The sequence below is a fragment of the Homo sapiens genome, chromosome 2 (genome assembly GCF_000001405.40).
Source record: "Homo sapiens chromosome 2, GRCh38.p14 Primary Assembly".
NCBI classification, from domain to species: Eukaryota; Metazoa; Chordata; class Mammalia; order Primates; family Hominidae; genus Homo; species Homo sapiens.
Genome location: NC_000002.12, coordinates 1493232 through 1515219, shown reverse-complemented (window position 1 = coordinate 1515219; position 21988 = coordinate 1493232). Strand labels below are relative to the sequence as shown.

At 50.8% G+C, this 21988-nt stretch overlaps 1 protein-coding gene and 1 long non-coding RNA gene across 24 annotated transcripts in view, besides 1 other annotated feature; one reads left to right on the top strand and one right to left on the bottom strand.

Annotated features, from left to right (window-relative positions):
• The window catches only part of TPO (thyroid peroxidase), a 169627-nt gene that overhangs the window by 28454 nt on the left and 119185 nt on the right, over window positions 1-21988 (bottom strand). For 13 of the 21 annotated variants that reach the window (XM_047445652.1, XM_047445655.1, XM_047445654.1 and 10 more), the window contains 3 exons: window positions 21181-21418; window positions 19023-19231; window positions 18455-18625 (listed from right to left, as the gene is read on the bottom strand). In XM_047445652.1, coding sequence (XP_047301608.1) covers window positions 18455-18625; window positions 19023-19231; window positions 21181-21418 — 618 coding nt within the window. Of the gene's footprint in view, window positions 1-11140; window positions 11273-18454; window positions 18626-19022; window positions 19232-21180; window positions 21419-21988 lie in introns of all 21 variants that reach the window. The other 8 variants (XM_011510380.4, XM_024453091.2, XM_024453093.2 and 5 more) reach the window with 1 other exon arrangement.
• The window catches only part of LALTOP (lung cancer associated lncRNA targeting TOP2A), a 140518-nt gene that overhangs the window by 110200 nt on the left and 8330 nt on the right, over window positions 1-21988 (top strand). Inside the window, exon 6 of one of the 3 annotated variants that reach the window (NR_198948.1) lies at window positions 17234-17439. The exons of 1 other annotated variant lie outside the window; for it this stretch is intronic. This is a non-coding gene — a long non-coding RNA (lung cancer associated lncRNA targeting TOP2A). Of the gene's footprint in view, window positions 1-5984; window positions 6477-17233; window positions 17440-21988 lie in introns of those variants that run through there. One more of the 3 variants, NR_198950.1, reaches the window with a different exon arrangement.
• Window positions 18598-19233: an enhancer, noted in NCBI's record as "H3K4me1 hESC enhancer chr2:1499759-1500394 (GRCh37/hg19 assembly coordinates)". NCBI's record gives its function as "activates a minimal SCP1, AML or CMV promoter by ChIP-STARR-seq in naive H9 embryonic stem cells {active_cell/tissue: H9 hESC(naive)}" and the evidence as "EXISTENCE:reporter gene assay evidence [ECO:0000049][PMID:30033119]".

Genomic DNA, 21988 nt, shown 5'->3' with positions numbered 1-21988 from the left:
CTAGAGGTGGGGGCTCCGCCTGTGTGCCTGGGGCTGGGGGTGCGGGGAAGGCTGAGCTGATCGAGGCCTGGGTGGGAATTCCAGGTAAGCACAGGCCAGGTCAGGGCAGTCAGGACAGGGCAGCCGTGGAAATTCATTCTGGAATTGGTGTTTGACATTTCCGGCTGGATTTGGTTCTGAGAAACTTGGGCTGGAGGGGCCACCTGTGGAACTTCAAAAACCAGCAAAGCCAGGCATCTGACATCAGAGCCTTGAGTGAGAGGAGGAGCCACGTCCTGGGCCGTGGCGAGCATCTGATTGAAGCCCACCTCACACCAGCAAACGGCAGACCCACAGCAGGGACGTAAGCAGCTCCATGTTTACCCAAAAGTGTGAAACGAGCCTGGGCAGGGGGAAGGCCAGATGCCGCACAGCAGAAACTTTCCTTTATTCTTTGCTCCAAATTTTTGTTTCTTGGCATTTTCAATTTCAAGAGCCAGTAAATCCGCTTGGAACCAGATTGAAGGCTGTGTGCTTCTGGGAGATACCCAGCTGAGACAGGTCCTGAAGCCCCTGCATGTCCTACGGGGGCATCACAAAGGTCACGGCTGCTGCCGGAGTGGCTTTCCGACCTCTTCAGTGCCACCCCGGGGAGCCCTGGAGTTCTCTGCTGTGGGCGTGGGTGCCCCTCTGGTGGGGCTGGGCAAGGGGGAGTCCCTGAGGCTGGGTGAAGGCCAACGAGGGCCTTTGGAAAGAAACGGCATCGGGTTTGGGCAGGCCCTGGGCAGACAGAGGGCACTGGGATTTTGGAGAATTCAGGTCAGAATAACATGACTGGGATGGTTAATTTTATGTGTCCGCTTGACTGGAGCACAGGCGCCCAGATTAGACATTATTCCCACTGTGTTTTTGAGTTGGGTCCTGGAAGGGATCAGCATTGGAATCTGTGGTCTGAGAAAAGCAGACGGCTCTCCCCAACATGGGTGGGCCCTGTCCCATCCTTCCAGGGCCCCAGTAGAGCAGGAAGTGGAGGAAAAAGGGCTTCACTTCTCTTTTCCTGACTCTCTGCTTGAGCTGGGACATCTCATTGCAGCTTCACCTGCCCTCAGACTGGAACTGCCCCGCCAGCTCCCCTGGGGCTCCAGTTTGCAGACAGCAGATCCTGGGACTCCTCAGCCTCTCTAATTTCATGACCAATTCTGCAGAATAGAGATGCTTTCACATATCGGTACATAGAGCTAGAAGCACATGTAAAACTATGTCTATGTATGGGTAACTACCTCTATATTTACATCTATACCAAAATCTATATTGTGTCTATATCTAAACTTACATAGGTATAGCTACACCTAAATCTATTCTATACCTATGTGTAAATTTATATCTATATTTTTATATCTGCATCTGTACCTAAAACTATATATACCCACAATCAGTATCTATATCTAAATCAGTATAACTATATCTATGTCTACATATTTGTTATCTATATCTATGTTCAATCTATGTAAATCTATATATAGTATATCTACATATATCCATATTTAAATCGATATCTATATCTAAATCTACGTAACTACATCTACAAACTGTGTCTCTATGGATGTCTCTAATCTATAACTATTTCTATACATACATCTGCATCTCTGATTGCTCCTGTTTCTCTGGAGACTCCGTCTAATACGATCAGCACACGGGCTGGCCGGGGCCAGAGCTCTCGCAGGCCAGGGGAGTGTGAGCTCCTCTCACAGCCATGCCTCATCTTCCAGGCCTTGGCATCCTTGTCTGTGAGTCACTGTGAGGACGGAAGGAGAAGCCGTGGCACCTGTTTATGAATCTCTCAGACATGGGCCCTGGTGCCCACCTTCCCTGGAACCTCTGGCCTCCAGCCAGGGCTCGTAGGAGGGGCTGTAAATATGGCTCAGCTGTTGCTCCTGGGTCACTCTCAGCCCTCAGCACCTGAGCGCATGTCCACTCAGCCGAGGCCTCTGCTGCTGTCTGTGTCCACCCTTCCTCATGCAGGCAGGCTTGGGTTTCACGCTGTCATTCTGAAAACTGAGGGACAGCCATGTCCATCACCCTTTTGGGTGTTCCAGCCAGCAGTGACAGAGCTGGTGCATCCAGGGACAGTGCTGGGTCCTGCTGGCCTGCTCCGTCTGTACAGAGAGGGCACTGATGGCTGCGCCATCTGTACGGAGAGGGCACTGACGGCTGCTTGCACGGGAGCAGGGCTCTTTCATCAGGGACGTGTGTGGCCTCCGTGCAACAACAGTTAGGCTTGTGCGTCAGGGATGCAGAAAGGTCATGCCCAGCATCCTAATTTTCCATGGTCATTTTTGCAGGGGCAGCAGTATAATCATAAGGGTGCTGGTGGTGGGGGAAGCACTGAAGCCAGCATCCCCAGCTGTTCACCTCCCAGCTCCTGAGATGCTCTGGGGGCACTTTCCCTCCCTCAGTCCCTTCCTTAGAAGGAGAAGGTCACTGTCCACCATCGTCCACCATCAGGCTCCACCGGCGGCCTGGCCCAGTGCCTCCGGAGGGCCTGAGTCACAGCCAGGGAGGTCAGGGAGGTACACGGCAGCTGTCGGAGAGGAAGCTCCTCGGAGGCAGCCAGCTGCTTGAGGGGCTGCAGGGCTCAGCGGGAAGACGTGTTCTGCGGCGGACCCTGACTTCAGGTTCGGCAGCCAGGAGCCCAGCAGGGGCGGAGCGGGGCAGGGACAGCACCATGCAAGCATCACATCCATCACACAGAACCAGAAGGCAGCGCGGAGCGCACAGCTGCCCTGAGCACGGGCGCTGGTCCGGGCCGGGCTCAGGGGCTCTCTCGGACGCCCTTGGCGGGGGCAGGATCTGGAGAGGCAGATGGACAGTGTCCAGGCAGGAGGATTCCTTAGCAAAGAGGTAGCACTGGGAGGGAACGTCTCAACTCTAGAGACACATTTGGCTTCAGCGTTTATAGAAAAGAGTCCTTAAGATGTAGGAAATACATCCTGGCTAACATGGTGAAACCCCGTCTCTACTAAAAATACAAAAACAAAAATTAGCCGGGCGTGGTGGCGGGCGCCTGTAGTCCCAGCTACTCGGGAGGCTGAGGCAGGAGAATGGCGTGAACCCGGGAGGTGGAGCTTGCAGTGGGCTGAGATCGCGCCACTGCACTCCAGTCTAGGCGACAGAGCGAGACTCCGTCTCAAAAAAAAAAAAGATGCAGGAAATAGATAAATGTATGTTGTAATTGTTCTCAGGACAAAAACTAAAACAAGACGTTTGAAACAAAATATTGGAAATTAGTTTATGCAACTCATGCTCCTGTTGTATACACTTCTTCTAAAGTTTTATTCTGAAGATTAAAAGATGGCACTATGGACCAATTGGCTGTCGTGGGCTGAACCGGGTCTCCCAGATTCTCATGCTGAATCCCCAACACCCTGGGCCTCAGAATGTGGCTGATTTGGGGATGGAGCATTTGAGGAGGTAATTGCAGTGGCATGGGGATGTCACTGTGGGCCGTGGCCCAAGGCAGCTATGTCCTTATGAGATGAGGAGATGAGGCCATGGACACACAGAGGGACTGCCCTGGGAGGACATGGGGAGAAGGTGGTATCTGCAGCCAAGGGGTGAGTCCTCAGGGGGAGCCAACCGTGCCCTCCCCTTGATCTTGGACTCCAGCCTCCAGGACTTGCTGAGAGAGAAATCTCTTGTTCAAGTGCCCAGTCTGCAGGGCTGCGCTGTGGCACCCCCAGTCTGCAGGGCTGCGCTGTGGCACCCCCAGTCTGCAGGGCTGCGCTGTGGCACCCCCAGTCTGCAGGGCTGCGCTGTGGCACCCCCAGTCTGCAGGGCTGCGCTGTGGCACCCCCAGTCTGCAGGGCTGCGCTGTGGCACCCCCAGTCTGCAGGGCTGCGCTGTGGCACCCCCAGTCTGCAGGGCTGCGCTGTGGCACCCCCAGTCTGCAGGGCTGCGCTGTGGCACCCCCAGTCTGCAGGGCTGCGCTGTGGCACCCCCAGTCTGCAGGGCTTTGCTGTGGCACCCCCAGTCTGCAGGGCTGTGCTGTGGCACCCCCAGTCTGCAGGGCTGTGCTGTGGCACCCCCAGGAAATGAATACAGTTCCTTTAACCGCAACGTTAGGAACAAAACACTGCAAAAGCAGAGCTCCCTCTATAATTATATCAGCGCCTGAATCTATATGTGTATCTACATCTAAACTTATGTAGGGAGAGCTGTACCGAAATCTAAATCTATTCTTTTATATCGATGCCTGAATCTATATGTGTATCTACGTCTAAACTTATATAGGGAGAGTTGTACCGAAATCTAAATCTATTCTTTTATACCTATATGTAAATTTATATCTATATCTATATATCTGCATCTGTGCCTATATCTAAACTGTCTCTATCCATAATCAATATCTGTATCTAAATCTAAGTCTGTAAATCACCACGGAGACAGGAGAAGCCCTGGGCACCTGTGTATTAATCTCTCAGACATGGGCCCTGGTGCACAGAATGGTCTTAGGCTCATGTGCTCCTGGCCCCGGTCACGGTGCAGGCATTCAAAGGGGGCCCAGGAGGAAGAGAGGTAGTGGGCAAGTTCTCTTAGGCACCAACACATCTTTGGGTGCTCTCCGGGAGGAGGAAGAGACGTAGTGGGTGAGCCCTCTTAGGCACGAATTCATCTCTGGGTGCTCTCCCAGGGCTGTTCCTGACCTCCACTGGGACTCCTTTCTCCTTCTTTCTGTGGGTGAGTCCAGAAGAAAACATTGGGAGGGATGGAGGGTGGTGGCTTCAGCTGGAGTACAGCAGTAGAAGTGTTTCCTGGGGCCCCATGGAGCCATCTGACAGGGTTAGATATTATCAAAAATACAGCAAGTGCTTCTGGGCTGTAGTCCAGCAAAACTGCAGTCTTGACGTAAATGCCCCACTGCCTTCACCTGAGCAGGGTTCTGAATCCGCTTTCTTAGGTTTGTAATAATAATGCGGAAAGCAGCTGAGCTCCTCTCTGTGAATGTGGCAGCTTCGCTACCTGGCTACCTTTGCAATTCACATCTGAACCATTGATTTAAACATTTTATTTAAAAATCTGAATGCAAGAGCTGCTGTTTCTAATTTTCCATGATTGAGAGTGCTCTGGTTTGAAAGGAAGAGAGGATACTATTTCATATGGAGAAAAAACATGAATAAAACCAGAGGCTGATAAAACAATGAGTGTGAGGGGGAAATGCTGTGCAGAGAGAGGACACCTGAAACAAGAGGGTGTGGTGTCCCTGAAACGAGAGGGTATCCTGTGCCTGAAAGAAGAGGGGGGGTGTGCCTGAAACAACAGGGTGGGGTGTCCCTGAAACAAGAGGGTGTGGTTTCCCAGAAACAAGAGAGTGGGGTGTGCCTGAAGCAAGAGGGTGTGTGTGCCTGAAACAAGAGGGTGTCCTGTTCCTGAAATAAGAGGTGCGGTGTCCCTGAAACAAAAGGGTAGGGTGTCCCTGAAAGAAGGGGGTGGGGTGTCCCTGAAACAAGAGGGTGGGCTGTGCCTGACAGAAGAAGGGGGGTGTGCCTGAAACCAGAGAGTGTGGTTTGCCCTAAACAAGAGGGTGGGGTGTGCCTGAAAGAAGAGGGTGGGGTGTGCCTGACACAGGAGGGTATCCTGTGCCTGAAACAAGAGGATGGGGTATCCCCGAAAGAAGAGGGTGGGGTGTCCCTGAAACAAGAGGGTATCCTGTGCCTGAAACAAGAGGTTGTGGTTTCCCAGAAACAAGAGGGTGGGGTGTCCCTCAAACAAGAGGGTATCCTGTGCCTGAAACAGGAGGATGTGGTGTCCCTGAAACAAGAGGGTGTGGTGTCCCTGAAACAAGAGGCTGTGCTGTCCCTGAAAGAAGAGGGTATCCTGTGCCCGATACAAGAGGGTGTGGTGTCCCTGAAAGAAGAGGGCGGGTGTGCCTGACACAGGAGTGGGGGTGTGCCTCTCCTCAGCAGATGTAAAAGAACAGAAATAACAAACCGTCTCTCCGACCACAGTGCAATCAAACTAGAACTCAGGATTCAGAAACTCACTCAAAACCGCTCAACTACATGGAAACTGAACAACCTGCTCCTGAATGACTACTGGATACATAACAAAATGAAGGCAGAAATAAAGATGTTCTTTGAAACGAACGAGAACAAAGACACAACATACCACAATCTCTGGGACACATTCAAAGCAGTGTGTAGAGGGAAATTTATAGCACTAAATGCCCACAAGAGAAAGCAGGAAAGATCTAAAATTGACATCCTAACATCACAATTAAAAGAACTAGAAAAGCAAGAGCAAACACATTCAAAAGCTAGCAGAAGGCAAGAAATAACGAAGATCAGAGCAGAACTGAAGGAAATAGAGATACATAAAACCCTTCAAAAAATTAATGAATCCAGGAGCTGGTTTTTTGAAAAGATCAACAAAATTGATAGACCGCTAGCAAGACTAATAAAGAAGAAAAGAGAGAAGAATCAAATAGACGCAACAAAAAATGATAAAGGGGATATCACCACTGATCCCAAAGAAATACAAACTACCATCAGAGAATACTATAAACACCTCTACGCAAATAAACTAGAAAATCTAGAAGAAATGGATAAATTCCTCGACACATACTTCTTCCCAAGACTAAACCAGGAAGAAGTTGAATCTCTGAATAGACCAATAACAGGCTCTGAAATTGAGGCAATAATCAATAGCTTACCAACCAAAAAAAGTCCAGGACCAGATGGATTCACAGCCGAATTCTACCAGAGGTACAAGGAGGAGCTGGTACCATTCCTTCTGAAACTATTCCAATCAATACAAAAAGCGGGAATCCTCCCTAACTCATTTTATGAGGCCAGCATCATCCTGATACCAAAGCCGGGCAGAGACACAACCAAAAAAGAGAATTTTAGACCAATATCCTTGATGAACATTGATGCAAAAATCCTCAATAAAATACTGGCAAACCGAATCCAGCAGCAAATGAAAAAGCTTATCCACCATGATCAAGTGGGCTTCATCCCTGGGATGCAAGGCTGGTTCAACATACGCAAATCGATAAATGTAATCCAGCATATAAACAGAATCAAAGACAAAAACCACATGATTATCTCAATAGATGCAGAAAAGGCCTTTGACAAAATTCAACAACCCTTCATGCTAAAAACTCTCAATAAATTAGGTATTGATGGGAAGTATCTCAAAATAATAAGAGCTATCTATGACAAACCCACAGCCAACATCATACTGAATGGGCAAAAACTGGAAGCATTCCCTTTGAAAACTGGCACAAAACAGGGATGCCTTCTCTCACCACTCCTATTCAACATAGTGTTGGAAGTTCTGGCCAGGGCAATCAGGCAGGAGAAAGAAATAAAGGGTATTCAATTAGGAAAAGAGGAAGTCAAATTGTCCCTGTTTGCAGATGACATGATTGTATATCTAGAAAACCCCATCATCTCAGCCCAAAATCTCCTTAAGCTGATAAGCAACTTCAGCAAAGTCTCAGGATACAAAATCAATGTACAAAAATCACAAGCATTCTTATACACCAATAACAGACAAACAGAGAGCCAAATCATGAGTGAACTCCCATTCACAATTGCTTCAAAGAGAATAAAATACCTAGGAATCCAACTTACAAGGGATGTGAAGGACCTCTTGAAGGAGAACTACAAACCACTGCTCAATGAAATAAAAGAGGATACAAACAAATGGAAGAACATTCCATGCTCATGGGTAGGAAGAATCAATATGGTGAAAATGACCATACTGCCCAAGGTAATTTATAGATTCAATGCCATCCCCATCAAGCTACCAATGACTTTCTTCACAGAATTGGAAAAAACTACTTTAAAGTTCATATGGAACCAAAAAAGAGCCCACATTGCCAAGTCAATCCTAAGCCAAAAGAACAAAGTGGGAGGCACCACACTACCTGACTTCAAACTATACTACAAGGCTACAGTAACCAAAACAGCATGGTACTGGTACCAAAACAGAGATATAGACCAATGGAACAGAACAGAGCCCTCAGTAATAATGCCACATATCTACAACTATCTGATCTTTGACAAACCTGACAAAAACAACAATGGGGAAATGATTCCCTATTTAATAAATGGTGCTGGGAAAACTGGCTAGCCATATGTAGAAAGCTGAAACTGGATCCCTTCCTTACACCTTATACAAAAATTAATTCAAGATGGATTAAAGACTTACATGTTAGACCTAAAACCATAAAAACCCTAGAAGAAAACCTAGGCAATACCATTCAGGACATAGGCATGGGCAAGGACTTCATGTCTAAAACACCAAAAGCAATGGCAACAAAAGCCAAAATTGACAAATGGGATCTAATTAAACTAAAGAGCTTCTGCACAGCAAAAGAAACTACTATCAGACTGAACAGGCAACCTACAGAATGGGAGAAAATTTTTGCAACCTACTCATTTGACAAAGGGCTAATATCCAGAATCTACAATGAACTCAAACAAATTTACAAGAAAAAAACAAACAACCCCATCAAAAAGCGGGTGAAGGATATGAACAGACACTTCTCAAAAGAAGACATTTATGCAGCCAAAAAACACATGAAAAAATGCTCACCATCACTGGCCATCAGAGAAATGCAAATCAAAACCACAATGAGATACCATCTCACACCAGTTGGAATGACAATCATTAAAAAGTCAGGAAACAACAGGTGCTGGAGAGGATGTGAAGAAATAGGAACACTTTTACACTGTTGGTGGGACTGTAAACTAGTTCAACCATTGTGGAAGGCAGTGTGGCGATTCCTCAGGGATCTAGAACTAGAAATACCATTTGACCCAGCAATCCCATTACTGGGTATACACCCAAAGGACTATAAATCATGCTGCTATAAAGACACATGCACACATATGTTTATTGCAGCACTATTCACAATAGCAAAGACTTGGAACCAACCCAAATGTCCAACAATGATAGACTGGATTAAGAAAATGTGGCACATATATACCATAGAATACTATGCAGCCATAAATGATGAGTTCATGTCCTTTGTAGGGACATGGATGAAACTGGAAACCATCATTCTCAGCAAACTATCCCAAGGACAAAAAACCAAACACCGCATGTTCTCACTCATAGGTGAGAATTGAACAATGAGAACACATGGACACAGGAAGGGGAACATCACACACCAGGGCCTGTTGTGGGGTTGGGGGAGGGGGGAAGGATAGCATTAGGAGATATACCAAATGTTAAATTAGGAGATATACCAAATGTTAAATGACGAGTTAATGGGTGCAGCACACCAACATGGCACATGTATACATATGTAACAAACCTGCACGTTGTGCACATGTACCCTAAAACTTAAAGTATAATAATAATAAAACTAAAAAAAAAAAAACTGCCAAAAAGAAAGCCACAAGAATTTCTCCGCAACCCCTAAGTAAACAAATGGTTCCTTTGCATGGACACAGAAAGGAGAACAGCACACACTGGGGCCTGTTGAGGGGTGGAGGATGAGGGGAGGAACTTAGAGGATGGGTCAATAGGTGCAGCAAACCACCATGGCACACGTATACCTATGTAACAAACCTGCATGTTCTTCACATCATTTATCACTTTTTTTTTAGAAGAAATAAAAACAAACAACAACAACAACAAAAGGAGTGGGGGTGTGCCTGACATGGGGGTTGGGGGCTGTACCTGACACAGGAGGGGGGTTGTGCTTGACACAGGATGGTGGTGGGGGTGTGCCTGACACGGGGTGGGGGGGATGCGCCTGACACAGGAAGAGGGGTGCACCTGACATGGGGGTGGGAGGGTGTGCGTGACACAGGATGGGGCAGTGTGCCTGACACAGGCTGGTGGGGTGTGCCTGACACGGGGGTGGGGGTGTGTGCCTGACACAAGCTGGTGGGGTGTGCCTGACTCAGGAGAGTGGGATGTGCCTGATATAGGATAGTGGGGTGCGCCTGACACAGGAGGGGGTGCGCCTGACACAGGAAGGGGGTGTATGCCTGACACAGGAGTGGGGGACGTGCCAGTCAAGCGGATGTAGCTTGAGAGCCCCAGAAAGAGCCTCCCCAGCCTCTGAAGGCCCCGGGCAGCCGCGTCCTGGCCATCTCTTTTCAGACTCACTTGCTTGATAACTGGCCTTGACCCTGGCCCTTGTGCCCTTCGCTGAGGAGCTGAGTTTCAGCAAGAATCCTATTATTCCAGTTTAGCAGAAGCTCCTCAATGCAGTTGAGTCATGAAGCGTTTTGCACTGACCCCTCTCCGCCCTGGCTGGACGTCCCAGCTACCTTTGCTGCATTTGAGCCTTGCACTTGGTTCTTTCTGGAGACCTCTCTCCCCTATGACAGTAGCTCAAAGGAAGTCTGTCTGTAACTTGAGTCTGGTAAATAATTATTTTTCTATAAGAGCTGGAAGCCAGACTATTAACACAAATTCCCGGCCAGCTACGGAGTGGCTGTGTGACCAGGAGCGTCTCTCGCCCTCTCTTATCACTAGTATCCTCTTCTATAAAATGAAGATTAAAGATAGTGCTTACCTAAGAGCCACAATTTTCAGGGGAGTAAATTCGTCAAAAGTTTGGGCGTAGCTGGCACCTGGCTTGGAGGCAGCGGTGAGGAAGACGCTGTCCCTGAGCTGAGTGCAGAGCTGGGGGACTGGACAAGGCCATCCGAGGCAGATGTTGAGCACCCAGGCCCCATGCCGGGCGGGGACATCCGGAGGTGGAGGTGGGAGAACAGGCAGGCAGCTGTGCTGCTGGCCCTGGTCAGGGTGCAGTCGGGTGCATTTGGAGGGGTCCCAGGAGGAGGAGAGGTGATGGATGGGTCTGTAATGAATCCTGCCTGTTTCATAGGTTTTTTGTCTGGGGTGTGATCTAGGCTGGGTATACACCTGTGGGCCTTGTCTGGCAATGCATTCTGGCTGCCGTCCCCAGCCTCAGTGTGCTTCGAGGGTCTCTGCAGACAGCAGGCACACGAAGTGCATCCTCTGCCCCCAGCACAGCGCAGACGCCCCTCGGGCACCGTGGGCTTGGTGTCTTATTCATCTCCGCCCTTCCCAATCAAGATGGTGATTGACAGTTGCCTAACTTGAACACACTTTTCTTCATTTTACAAAAACTCGCAAATGGACGGACAGAGAGAGAGGGGAACAGCCTCACCTACGCAGGTTCTCCCATCGTCTCCTAACTCGTAGGGGTCCGCGCAGAGACACTGGAAGCCGCCTTTGGTGTTTCTGCACCTCGCAGAGGCGTGGCAGGGGGGGTGGGCACCGTCTGCACACTCGTTCACATCTGCCAGACACACAAGGCCACACACGTGAGAGGAAGCGGCTGCACCCCCATCTCCCGCGAGCGACCCCCGTTCTGGGAGGTGCTTCTCTCTGGGGAGGTCAGCCCTTTGCCTGCCATCCCACCTGGTCTAGGGGGAACCGGCCGCCCCCTGCTCCCGGCACATCCGAAAAGGTGATGAGGAGCAGACAGATGTGCGCTGGCCACGGGCTCTGAGCCTGCAGGGAGTCCACACACTGGGGCTCACTCAGGCCCGAGTCACAGGAGACTTCCTGGAGGAAATCAGGGTCTGCCTGGGAATGTGGAATTTGGCCAAGTGCAGGACACGGGGGCAGGAAGGGGCCAGGGTGAGGGTGGGGCAGGGTCTGCTTCGCCCAGGCAGATGCTCCCAGCTGGCCGGCAGGTCCTCTGAGAGCAAGGACTGGGGCCACCTGCCACCGCCAGTGAGGATGTGGGGTCCCCTCCTGCTCCTGCTCCCCCTGCACAAGAATCCTACAACCTAGTATCTCATCCCCTAGGCGTATGTTTCCAGATAACCTGCTGTACATTTTGTTCAAATAATGTTCCTTTTCTGGCCAGTTTTAGAAAAGAAGCTGTAGCGTGTCACAGGTCTTCTCTACATGCCCAGTGCGCATTCTCTAAATGGAGCAGGTGCTGTCAGTGTGGGGAACACGAGCTCTTCCAGGAGCTGCTCTGTCTGGAGGGAACAGAGCTGGCCTGGGTGCAGCCTCCGCCGAGGGCCAGGCTGGAGGCAGCAACCTCCCTGCACTCCTGGGGCCCTGGTGCTGACGACATCCCTAGACAGAGCAAAAGCACTGGGAGAGGTGGAGGGACCCTCCCCAGTCTCACCGCTGAGTGGAGGAGCCGGGGTCCACATAGGCCACAGGGTCTTGGTCCCCGACTCGGCCACCCCAGGACGATGAGAATGTGCGAACCTGGGCAGTGCTCAGGCGACCCAGTGCCGGAGACCCGTGAGGCCTCGAAGGCCAGCTGGGGTGGTCGGCTGGCCACCTGCTCCCCAGGGTGAGGGGCTGCATTGGATGGGACTGCCCACTCCTAACCCCGGGGGAGGCTTGGCCCATGCTGGTTTTCTCAGTTACAGAATGGGTATCATTATGTCAGCTGTGAAAAATGGGCGTGGAATCAAAGACGATGCTTATGACAACTAGCAGGGTGTCAGGGATATCTCAGGCTTTCTAAACAGTACGGTCTTTAATAATGCCATTATTGATAATGACAACCATTCTATAAGAGTATAAGAAGTCGGGTCCGGTGGCTCATGCCTGTAATCCCAGCACTTTGGGAGGCTGAGGTGGGTAGATCACCTGAGGTCAGGAGTTTGAGCCCAGCCTGGCCAACATGGTGAAATCCCATCTCCACTAAAAATACAAAAATGAGCTGGGTGCAGTGGTGGGTGCCTGTAATCCCAGCTACTCAGGAGGCTGAGGCAGGAGAATCACTTGAGCTCAGGAAGCGGAGGTTGCAGTGAGCAGAGATTGCGGCACTGCACTCCAGCCTGGGTGACAGAGTGAGACTCTGTCTCAAAAAAATAAAAAGAAGTATAAGAAAAGGGTCAAGAAATTTCAAGGGATTGGAGCTATTGACTATCGGCTGTTAATTGTCTCTATCTAGCAGCAGCTATTAAAGTGTTTCATGTACAGGTAACCATGTCAAGGCTGTTAAACCTAGAAGGTCTTTCTTGGCTAAAGCTGCCCCTGGAACCAGCCCCTCCTGCATCCCGTTATGCAGAGCTGTGGAGCACCAGAGCTGTGTGAAGGCATCTGCAGCCGCCTCTGGGGTAGGGAGTGTTTCCATCATGATCGTGTGAAAAATCAAAGTCATCACCCATGAACGCTACAAGCCCATTTTCTCTCCATCCCCTGGGATGTGCAATGGGGTCCTCAGAATGGGAATGGCAGCTGCCAACACATCCCTGCATCCCTCTCGGGGAGTTCCCTTGGAGCAGCTTCTGCCCCCTCTCCTCACCCCATCCCTGCAGTTCAGACTCATCCTTATGAGTTCCCTGTGGCTGCTGGGAAAAATCATCACAAAGTGGATGGCTCCAAGCAACAGAAATGCATCCTCCAAGAGTTCTAGAGGTCACAGGTCTGAAATCAGGGTGTCGGCCGGGTGGTGCTCCTTCAGCAGGCTCTCGGGAGTCGGGGGGCGTCCTTCCTGCATGCCCTGGCTCCTGGTGGGTCCTGGGGGGCCCATGCCTGGCAGAAGCTTTATTTCCATCCTGGGTCTTCACAGGGTCCCGTCTGTGTCTTGTCTCTGCTTCCTATGAGGGCACTGCACATTGGAGCAGGATGCACCCGACAGCCTCACTTTAACTCGACGGCACCTGCAAAGGCCTTGCTTCTTCATCAGGCCACATGCAGAGGTACACGGGGCTAGAACTTGAGCATAGCTTTTTGGGGGCACAGTTTGGCCCACAACGCTCCACCCACGGTCAGTTTCTTCTAAGCAGAAGGCCGAGTCAGGGGCCAGCGCTGTGTAGGTCTCCTTCCCAGGATGGACAGGAAGGAGGGGGACAAATCGGCCTTGTCTGAAGAGCAGCGCTCCCGACAGAGGAGGAAACCAGCCTCAGCCGCAGTGTCCCCAGATACCAGGGTGACCTGCATGGAGGCCGAGGCTCTGCTCTCCGACTGCTTCGCCTTGAGTTTCAAGAAGAGTGGCCGTGGTGTCCACACATCTCCACGCGCAGTGAGTGCGCAGATGGCTGTGGTGTCCAGTCTCCACATGCAGTGAGTGCACAGATGTTTCCATTTCTCTAAGTAAATTAGTACTGGTTGCGAACTGTATTTTCCATAATATGCACAAAGCATTTATGTATATTCGTTTACTGCATAACCTCCTGACAATAACTCATGGAAAAAGCCACTGACTCACAGCTTTTTATCTATTTGAAATTTGCAGCATCCAGGCACTCAGAGGAGACTCACTGCAATGCATTTGCCAGTTTTTTTTTTTTTTTTTGAGAGGGAGTCTCACTCTGTTGCCCAGGCTGGAGTGCAGTGGTGCAATCTCGGCTCACTGAAACCTCCATCTCCCGGGTTCAAGCAATTCTCTTGCCTCAGCCTCCTGGGTAGCTGGGATTACAGGCGCCTACCACCATGCCCGGCTAATTTTTCTTCTTTGTATTTTTAGTAGAGACGGGGTTTCACCATCTTGGCCAGGCTGGTGTTGAACTCCTGACTTCATGATCCACCTGCCTCGGCCTCCCAAAGTGCTGGGATTACAGGCATAAACCACCACGCCCGGCCTTAATATCAAGTTTTTATGTGAATGAGTTTGAGTGAATAAGTAGAATTTGAATAGAGAAGAGAGCAGCGAATACTATTTGTTTTTCTGTATCAAATATTCAGTTAAGCCCGTAGCCTTCCTTTCTGTAGCCGCAGATGTGTTGATGAGGTTTCACTGAGGATCTCCTTGAGTGCTTATATTCTTATCAATTTACCATAAACGTAAAGTTTCCTGTCTGTTATACTTGAGTTTTTTCCCTTGTGATTCTCGATTTTGAAACTTCTAGTGCAGGGAACAGCTGTAGTAAAAATATCTGTGCACACGCATTTGTACCAGATTTTGGAGTTTTGTCATTTATCTCTAAGATATATTTTAATTACAGATATGATAAAACAAACAAAAAAAAGAGTTGTATTGATGAAGGTTAGCAATCTCTCCTACCTGTCCCCATCTCAGGCTGCCGAGGTCTCCAGTATTAACAGGTTCTGGAGCAGAGCCTAGCGCTCCCCTCACATTCGGGAGGACACTCATCAAAGTGATGTGTGTGCCTGTGGCCCACTGCTTTAAAAAAAACCCGAACAGATTCCCAATGTACACATTGCTGTGTAGCTTACATGCTTATTGAGTGACATGTCACCAACACTCTTCCAAGTCAACAGACGCCCTGCTAACTGTGTAGTGTAATTGTTCTGGGTGTGGCTGTCCCAGCATTCAGAACACGGCTCCTGAGCACTCACAGTGTTAATATCAACAGGCCTGCACCCCGCTCTTTGTACTGTGCATTTATAACTAATTTAAATCAATGCCTTATTCCTGTCCTCATTTCACATTTGAAACCGTGGAGGCACACAGAGGCTCAGCAATTTGGGAGACAGATTAAATGGCTACGGAAATGTCTGTGGCAGGAGAACATGAAGTTGGGCCCAAGTTAGTGAACTAGAGAGAGAAGACAGGATGAGTTAGGGTTGGCCGATGGGTGTCTCAGACCTTCATATACACAGTCTCATGGGGTCTTGTGAAGAGTGTGGATTCTGACGCAGGGATTGTGGTGCCCCAGACACCACAGGTGTAATAAGCTCCTTGGTGATGTTGTTGCTGCAGCCCTGACTCAGGGATTGTGGTGGCCCCAGACGCCGCAGGTGTGATAAGCTCCTTGGTGATGTTGCTGCAGCCAGGGAGCCCACCAGGAGCACTGGCTGCTGTGCACGCACCATGCCGAGACAGGCCCCTGCACCCTGGGGAGCACCCAGACTGGTTCAGAAATAGTCCTTCTTACAATGGATCTTAACTTCAGACAGCTGTTAATTGTTGGACTAAAAATCAAGGAAGATAAATGAAAAAATTTCAAGAACAGAAGAGTGATTTTGATGGCATAGGATGGTCTACAGGAGGCTGAAGGAGCATTCCTCACTTAGGAGACAGATGAGCAACGTCCCAGGCGGAAGGTCAGAGGGCAGGTGGAAGGTCAGAGGGCAGGCGGAAGGTCAGAGGGCACGCGCACAGGGGGCAGCTCCACACAGGCAGGTTGTAGGACTCCAGCAGTCTCCCTTCCTGATCCACTCTAAGGTCTCACCCATCTTTTATTTGCACCTTGAAGATGCCTGTGAGTAGCACTTTGGGGTCATTCATACTTAAAATGAAGCTAAAATGGACACGTGAAACGTCTGGGTATTTGGGCAAGGAGAGACGCAGGTGTACAGTGAAGTGCACCATAGGAAGGCTTGTTAACGTAGAACACGCAACATGCTATACCCTGAAGCACCTGCCATCAATTCCTTAACTGTAATGCCAACACGGAAAACCAGGAATCGTGAGTGAAGTGGCCGTTTCAAGTTTGTGCAGTCTCTAAGCCAAGGGAACAGGAAAACCTTGCGATTCGTGACCCTTTTGTCACTGAAGTGTCAGTGGCAGAGCCTATGGTCAGGAGTCATGCAATAGTGTTAACAGCAACCACGAGTTTACACAGATGTCATCACCCGACAGAGTAGTTGTGTTTCTATCACCGAGGCTTCTGGAAAGTTCTCTGGGAGAAACATCCTGGTCTGCTGTTCTCTGGGGCACTGTAATCTCTGGGTGATCTCCTTGTACACTGTCATTCATGACCAATCCCAAAATGCAGCAGGGGAGCACGTCTGCAAATCTGGCATTGTGCAATTAACAGTTTAAACAGAGGGTTTCCAGCCCAGGCTGCTGGTTTCCAGTGATGACACCCCCTCACCTATGTAGCAGGCCTCTGCCCTATCCATGCCCAGGCAGCTCCTTGTGCCGTTAGTGAGTTTGAAAGTTATTTCCGAGGCACCGTTCCCCAGGCCAGCTTTGTTTCTTCCTCTCCTCATCCCTTCTCTCCTCTTCTAATGGGAAGGTGGCTCCCGGGAGGGCACCTGAGACCACAGACTTGGCGGGAGCCGCACCCCTACCTGACCCCTGCCACAGCACTGAGTCCTGGTGGGTCTCTGGTGCACACAGGGTCTCAGCCTCTCCCTTTATGACTGAGGGTCTGGAAGCAGTTGACCACTGCAACCCTTCAAGGAGAAACATTTTGGACTTTCAAAATTGAAATGGAAATTTTGTTATTGTGCTGAATTATACATAATGTAAACTTTACCACCTCTGCCATTTTTAAATGTACAGTTCACTGGCATTGAGCACACTGACCTTGTGCAACTTATCACACCATCCCCCTCCCAGCCACTTTTTTTTTTTTTTTTTTTTTGGTAGATGGGGTTTCACTATTTTTCTCAGGCTGGTCTTGAACTCCTGGCCTCAGAGGATTCTCTCACCTGGGTCTCCCAAAGCACTGGCTCCAGGACTCTTTCATCTTCTGAAAACTCTGAGAAAACTGAAAACTGTGGACTTTGCTTGTATTTCTGCTTGCAAACCAGCCAGATTCTTGCACGAGACCATCTCTTTCTTCTGCGGTCTAGGTAAGTGCAGCTCATAGCACGTAGCTCACAGGAGACTGTGAGTCTGATGCCAACTTTCCTCTCCTAAAATGCAGTCCCTGAAGGCAGCTGGTTGGCCTTCTAAAGATTGCTGGTGAGTGTCATCTGAGCAGCCTTCCTCCCAGAACAGCAGCCATTCCTGCTCCTGCCTGCCCTGACGCCACTGTCCCATGAGACCAGAACCAGCGGTCCAGGTTTTGTGGCAGGGCAGTTCTGAAGTAGTTGGAGGACGCAAGCTGCTCTGACAGGAAGCCCCAGCCTCAGGAGTCGCACCCAGAGGGCTCTGCCTCAGAACAGTCAGATGGGGACTCTCATTCTGCTGTTCCCCGCAGAGGAACCCCAGTACACGGCTCTCCCCCCGGGAGGCTCTGTTGTCCAGCACACCTGCTCCCAGGTGCCCTGGGCTGACACCCGCTCAAGCCAGCACATGGGAGGAGCAGGTGGAAGTGGCCCACGGCTGTCTTGCCTTGCGGCCTGAAAGGTGCCTCCCCATCCTGCTCTCAAATTACCGCCAGGAAGCCACACTTGTCCACACCTAAACATGCGGGAGGCTGGGAGTGGAACCCAGTGGCTGGAGGAGGACCAGGCATGGGCTTGGGAATCAGCCACCTGTAGGAGGTGGAGGTGGAGGCGAGCCTTACTCTATGGGTTCCTGGAGTGGAGACGTTTGCTGCTGTGTTCCCTTTGAGAAAGCGCCCCTGCGAGTTCACCACAACTTTGCCTGGAACTCACGGACTCCCCTCTCTCTTCCCTCACCGGTGACCCCATTGGTCACGATTCCACGTGCCTGTCCTGAGGCCTCACTACCTAGAAAAAGGCCAGCTGGGAACATGGCCAGCCAAGGGGAGAGCCCTTGCTTTCTATCCCCAGATTGCTCCTGGGAAGATAACAGTTTCAGAAGCACCTTTTGGCGAAGAAATTTTCAATGACATTGCATTGTTAACTTATATCGGAAACATTCAGATGTTTTGTAATTGTCATTGAAGAAAGGACTGACCTTTGCAGAGGGGAGGCTGGAAATCCCATCCTTCCTGGGTGCAAGTGAGCTGCTCCCGGCCTTGGAGCTCATACCCGTGCCGGCAGGAATACACCAGCACGCGCCTCCCAGACTCCTCACAGTGCACAAAGTCCCCATTCTCCACGCTCTCTGGGAAGCCACACTTGTCGTCTATGAAATGTGGACAGGTTGACATGTAGTCAAACTACGAGAAAAGAAAACCACACACCAACGTCCCTGTCACGGGTGCGCTTGTGCCCTGGAGGGGCTGGTGCCAGGGCCGGGGAGCCCTGCTGTGGTCACTCACTGAGCACCCACGCAGCACACACGGCCTCTTCCCAGATCGGGCCCCGCGGGCTCCCTTTCTCTAGGCCTCCAGTTCCTTTCTCACTAGAGAAGGGCCCCGCCCCGCCCCGCCCCGCCCCAGGAGCTGCCCTGAGGGTGTAAGGCAGGGCGTTGACACTATTTTCTAAACAGTGAAAAGTTAAAATCAGCTCCTGGGGAAGATAAGCTTTGTTTGATGAGATGCACGTGCTGTAACGTGGTGTGAGAGGAGACCGAACTTCACCTTGAGGAAAGGTTTCCCTCCAGGCCTCCAGGTTCATGCCAGTGATGCTGTCACAAGACTCAAAGTCTTCGGGGAATTTGCCGACTTGGAAGGCATCCATGGGCACCCTGGTGAGGCCAGTGTTGTCACAGATGACCCGAGACAGGGAGTGCTTCTCCAGCTCACGCCTCTGTGCATCCGTGAAGACGTGGCTGTTCTCCCACCAAAACCTCCAGAGAAGGAGACAGTGAGTAAGGTCACAGTGCATGGAGAACCCCCAGGGCAGGCACTCAAGACCAGCTGCCCACAGCTGTGTGCTGCCAGCCTCTCCTGCGGCGTCTGCCCAGACCCCCAGCACCCGGGGCCACACAGGTGCAGGCGCTGAGGACCTGAAGGAGACCCTGTGGCGTCTGCCCAGACCCCCAGCACCCGGGACCACTCAGGTGCAGGCACTGAGGACCTGAAGGAGACCCTGTGGCGTCTGCCCAGACCCCTGAGCACCCGGGACCACTCAGGTGCAGGTACTGAGGACCCGAAGGAGATGTGGAGGGGCAGCACAGCGTGCACCTGGCTGTCTGAACGAGCGGCCTCAGAAGAGGGGCTCAGAGCCACTTTGCTTGTTGACTATGAGCATCTATTTTGCTGCATTGCTGTTATCTGGGGTGTATTGCTGTGTTAAAAACAAGAATGATGACAGCAAATCCAGCTATTTTAGAGGGTGCTCCTATTCTGAAGTCAACGTGCCCTGCACAGTCTCTCTACCTTCAGCTTCTTCCTCCAGGCCATGATTAATCAGAAAAATTGCAATGTGAAGAAATGAAGTCCCACTTTCCTCTCAAAATATGAAAATAGTTGCCAAAGCCCCAATAGCTCCTGGCCTGAATGCCGTAAAGCATGCATCTCCCATGTGCATCTCCCCTGCCACGTAAAACTCTTCTGCTTCCCATCACAGGGATGAATTCCTCTTAGAACATGAAAAAGAGGCCCCACTATACGTAAGTTAATTGATCCCATTTTTGCATTGGGGAGATATGTGGTCATAAATACATAGGATGAGAAATTGGGGGCACCACCCTAGGAACCTGCCAGCTGCCTCTGCACTGATTTCAGATGGCGCTTCAGCCACAGGTGGCATAAAACACGCATGGGAGACACACGTATGGGGCAAGCTGGTGAAATCTTCCCCCTTCTGAGCGAGTGGCTTCCCATGTCCCAGAGAATTCCAAACCGCACGTTTGCTGAAGACACAGCTATAAGGGAGACAAGTTCTCCTGGTGATTTCTACCCAGGTGTTCGTAGCTCTTTGAAAGGCTGCATCTCAGAAATTAGAGATAAAAGTCACACTGGGGAAAGGACAGGAGCCCCAGCGTGTGGCAGGTGCACTCTCTGGGAAGAACACAGATCCTTTACAACAAAAATCTGACCTCGGCACAGTGACTACCAAAAATAGAGAGAGAATTGGATAGGTAGGGATGTATTTAAAAGCAAAAGAAAACATTTTCCTATTGCTTTTGTCTGTGTTGTTCCAAAATCCTAACACTGGTATCCTGCGCACCTGCTTCTACGGGGGGCATGCACTCAGAGTCAGATGGGAACAGGATCTGCCTCTGACTCCCTCCAGTACAAACCTCCAAATTCTAGGTTGAACTTGAGGAGGGAGCAGACATGCATGAGGCAGGCAAAGCGGGACCTCAGCTTTCTGCTACCGGCAACCATCTGCTATCTGTAGGTGGGGTCTGGGGGGCCGGGAAGTCCTGTCCAGCCTAGAGGCATCCATGAGCACCGGGCATGGCCTGTGTCTGCGCCTGAGTCACTGTCCACCTCTGCGCTTTCCCGGGCATTGTCATGGGACGTGAGGGATGGGATGCAGTCTCCGGGCTGTCACGATTGTGTCACAATTTGTTTAGTTAGGTGCCTGCTTGCTCGTGTGGTTGGATCTAGGAAAAATCAGTGCTAGCTCCCATTCTAAGTGCTACGTGCTTCGTAGTTGCTTCATTGTTATAAAAACACTGTTCTAGGTTAAAGAAGCTGTGGGTGGGAGAAACAACCTGACCAGGCTTACGTAAGAGTTGAATGGTGGAGCCGGAATGTGAATGCAGGTCTGGCTGGCTTCAGAACCAACGCAGACCACCTGCCTCTGTGCAGAACGTGAAGGAAGACGCTCTGGATAGGAACGTACCAGTCACCGTCCCGCAGAGCCTTCATCTGCTTCCCAATGAGACAGGCAAACAGGGGCCCTGTCCGAGCCCTGGGGAGGAAGTTTTCAGCTAAGCCTCCCAGCCAGACATCGATGTTGTCAGGATGCTTGTACAAGTCCAGGATCTTGTCGGCCACGCTCCTGCTGGCGATGGCTGTGCTCAGGTCAGCGGGGGTCTCCAGGCGAGGCAGGCCGCAGAACTCCCTCCACTCATTGTAACCTGCACAGGGGAGAGGCTGCAGGGTTTCTCTCACAGAACTGAACTTTTGTTCAGCCCATCTCACTCATGCCATGGTCCCCGAGACTGGAAGCGCAGCAGGGCAGAGTCCTGTCCCACCCTGTGACACTGCCTGGCAGTTTGCCAGGCTAGGATATTCCAGCTCCGACGCCCGGCAGAGTCCTGTCCCACCCTGTGACACTGCCCGGCAGTTTGCCAGGCTAGGATATTCCAGCTCGGATGCCGGGCAGAGTCCTGTCCCACCCTGTGACACTGCCCAGCAGTTTGCCAGGCTAGGATATTCCAGCTCAGATGCCGGGCAGAGTCCTGTCCCACCCTGTGACACTGCCCGGCAGTTTGCCAGGCTAGAATGTTCCAGCTCGGACGCCAGAGCTCTTTTTGCAGGTTTGTTCATAAAGGAGCTGGAGACAGCAAGAATGCTGAGTCCGTGACATCTAAGTGCATTCCTGTTATTGCCCAGCCTGCACTTAGTTCTTGCCTCTACAGGGCAACTGACACAGCTCTGCATCCTCTTCAGAGTTTGCCTCCCACAATGACATCAGGAGCACACAC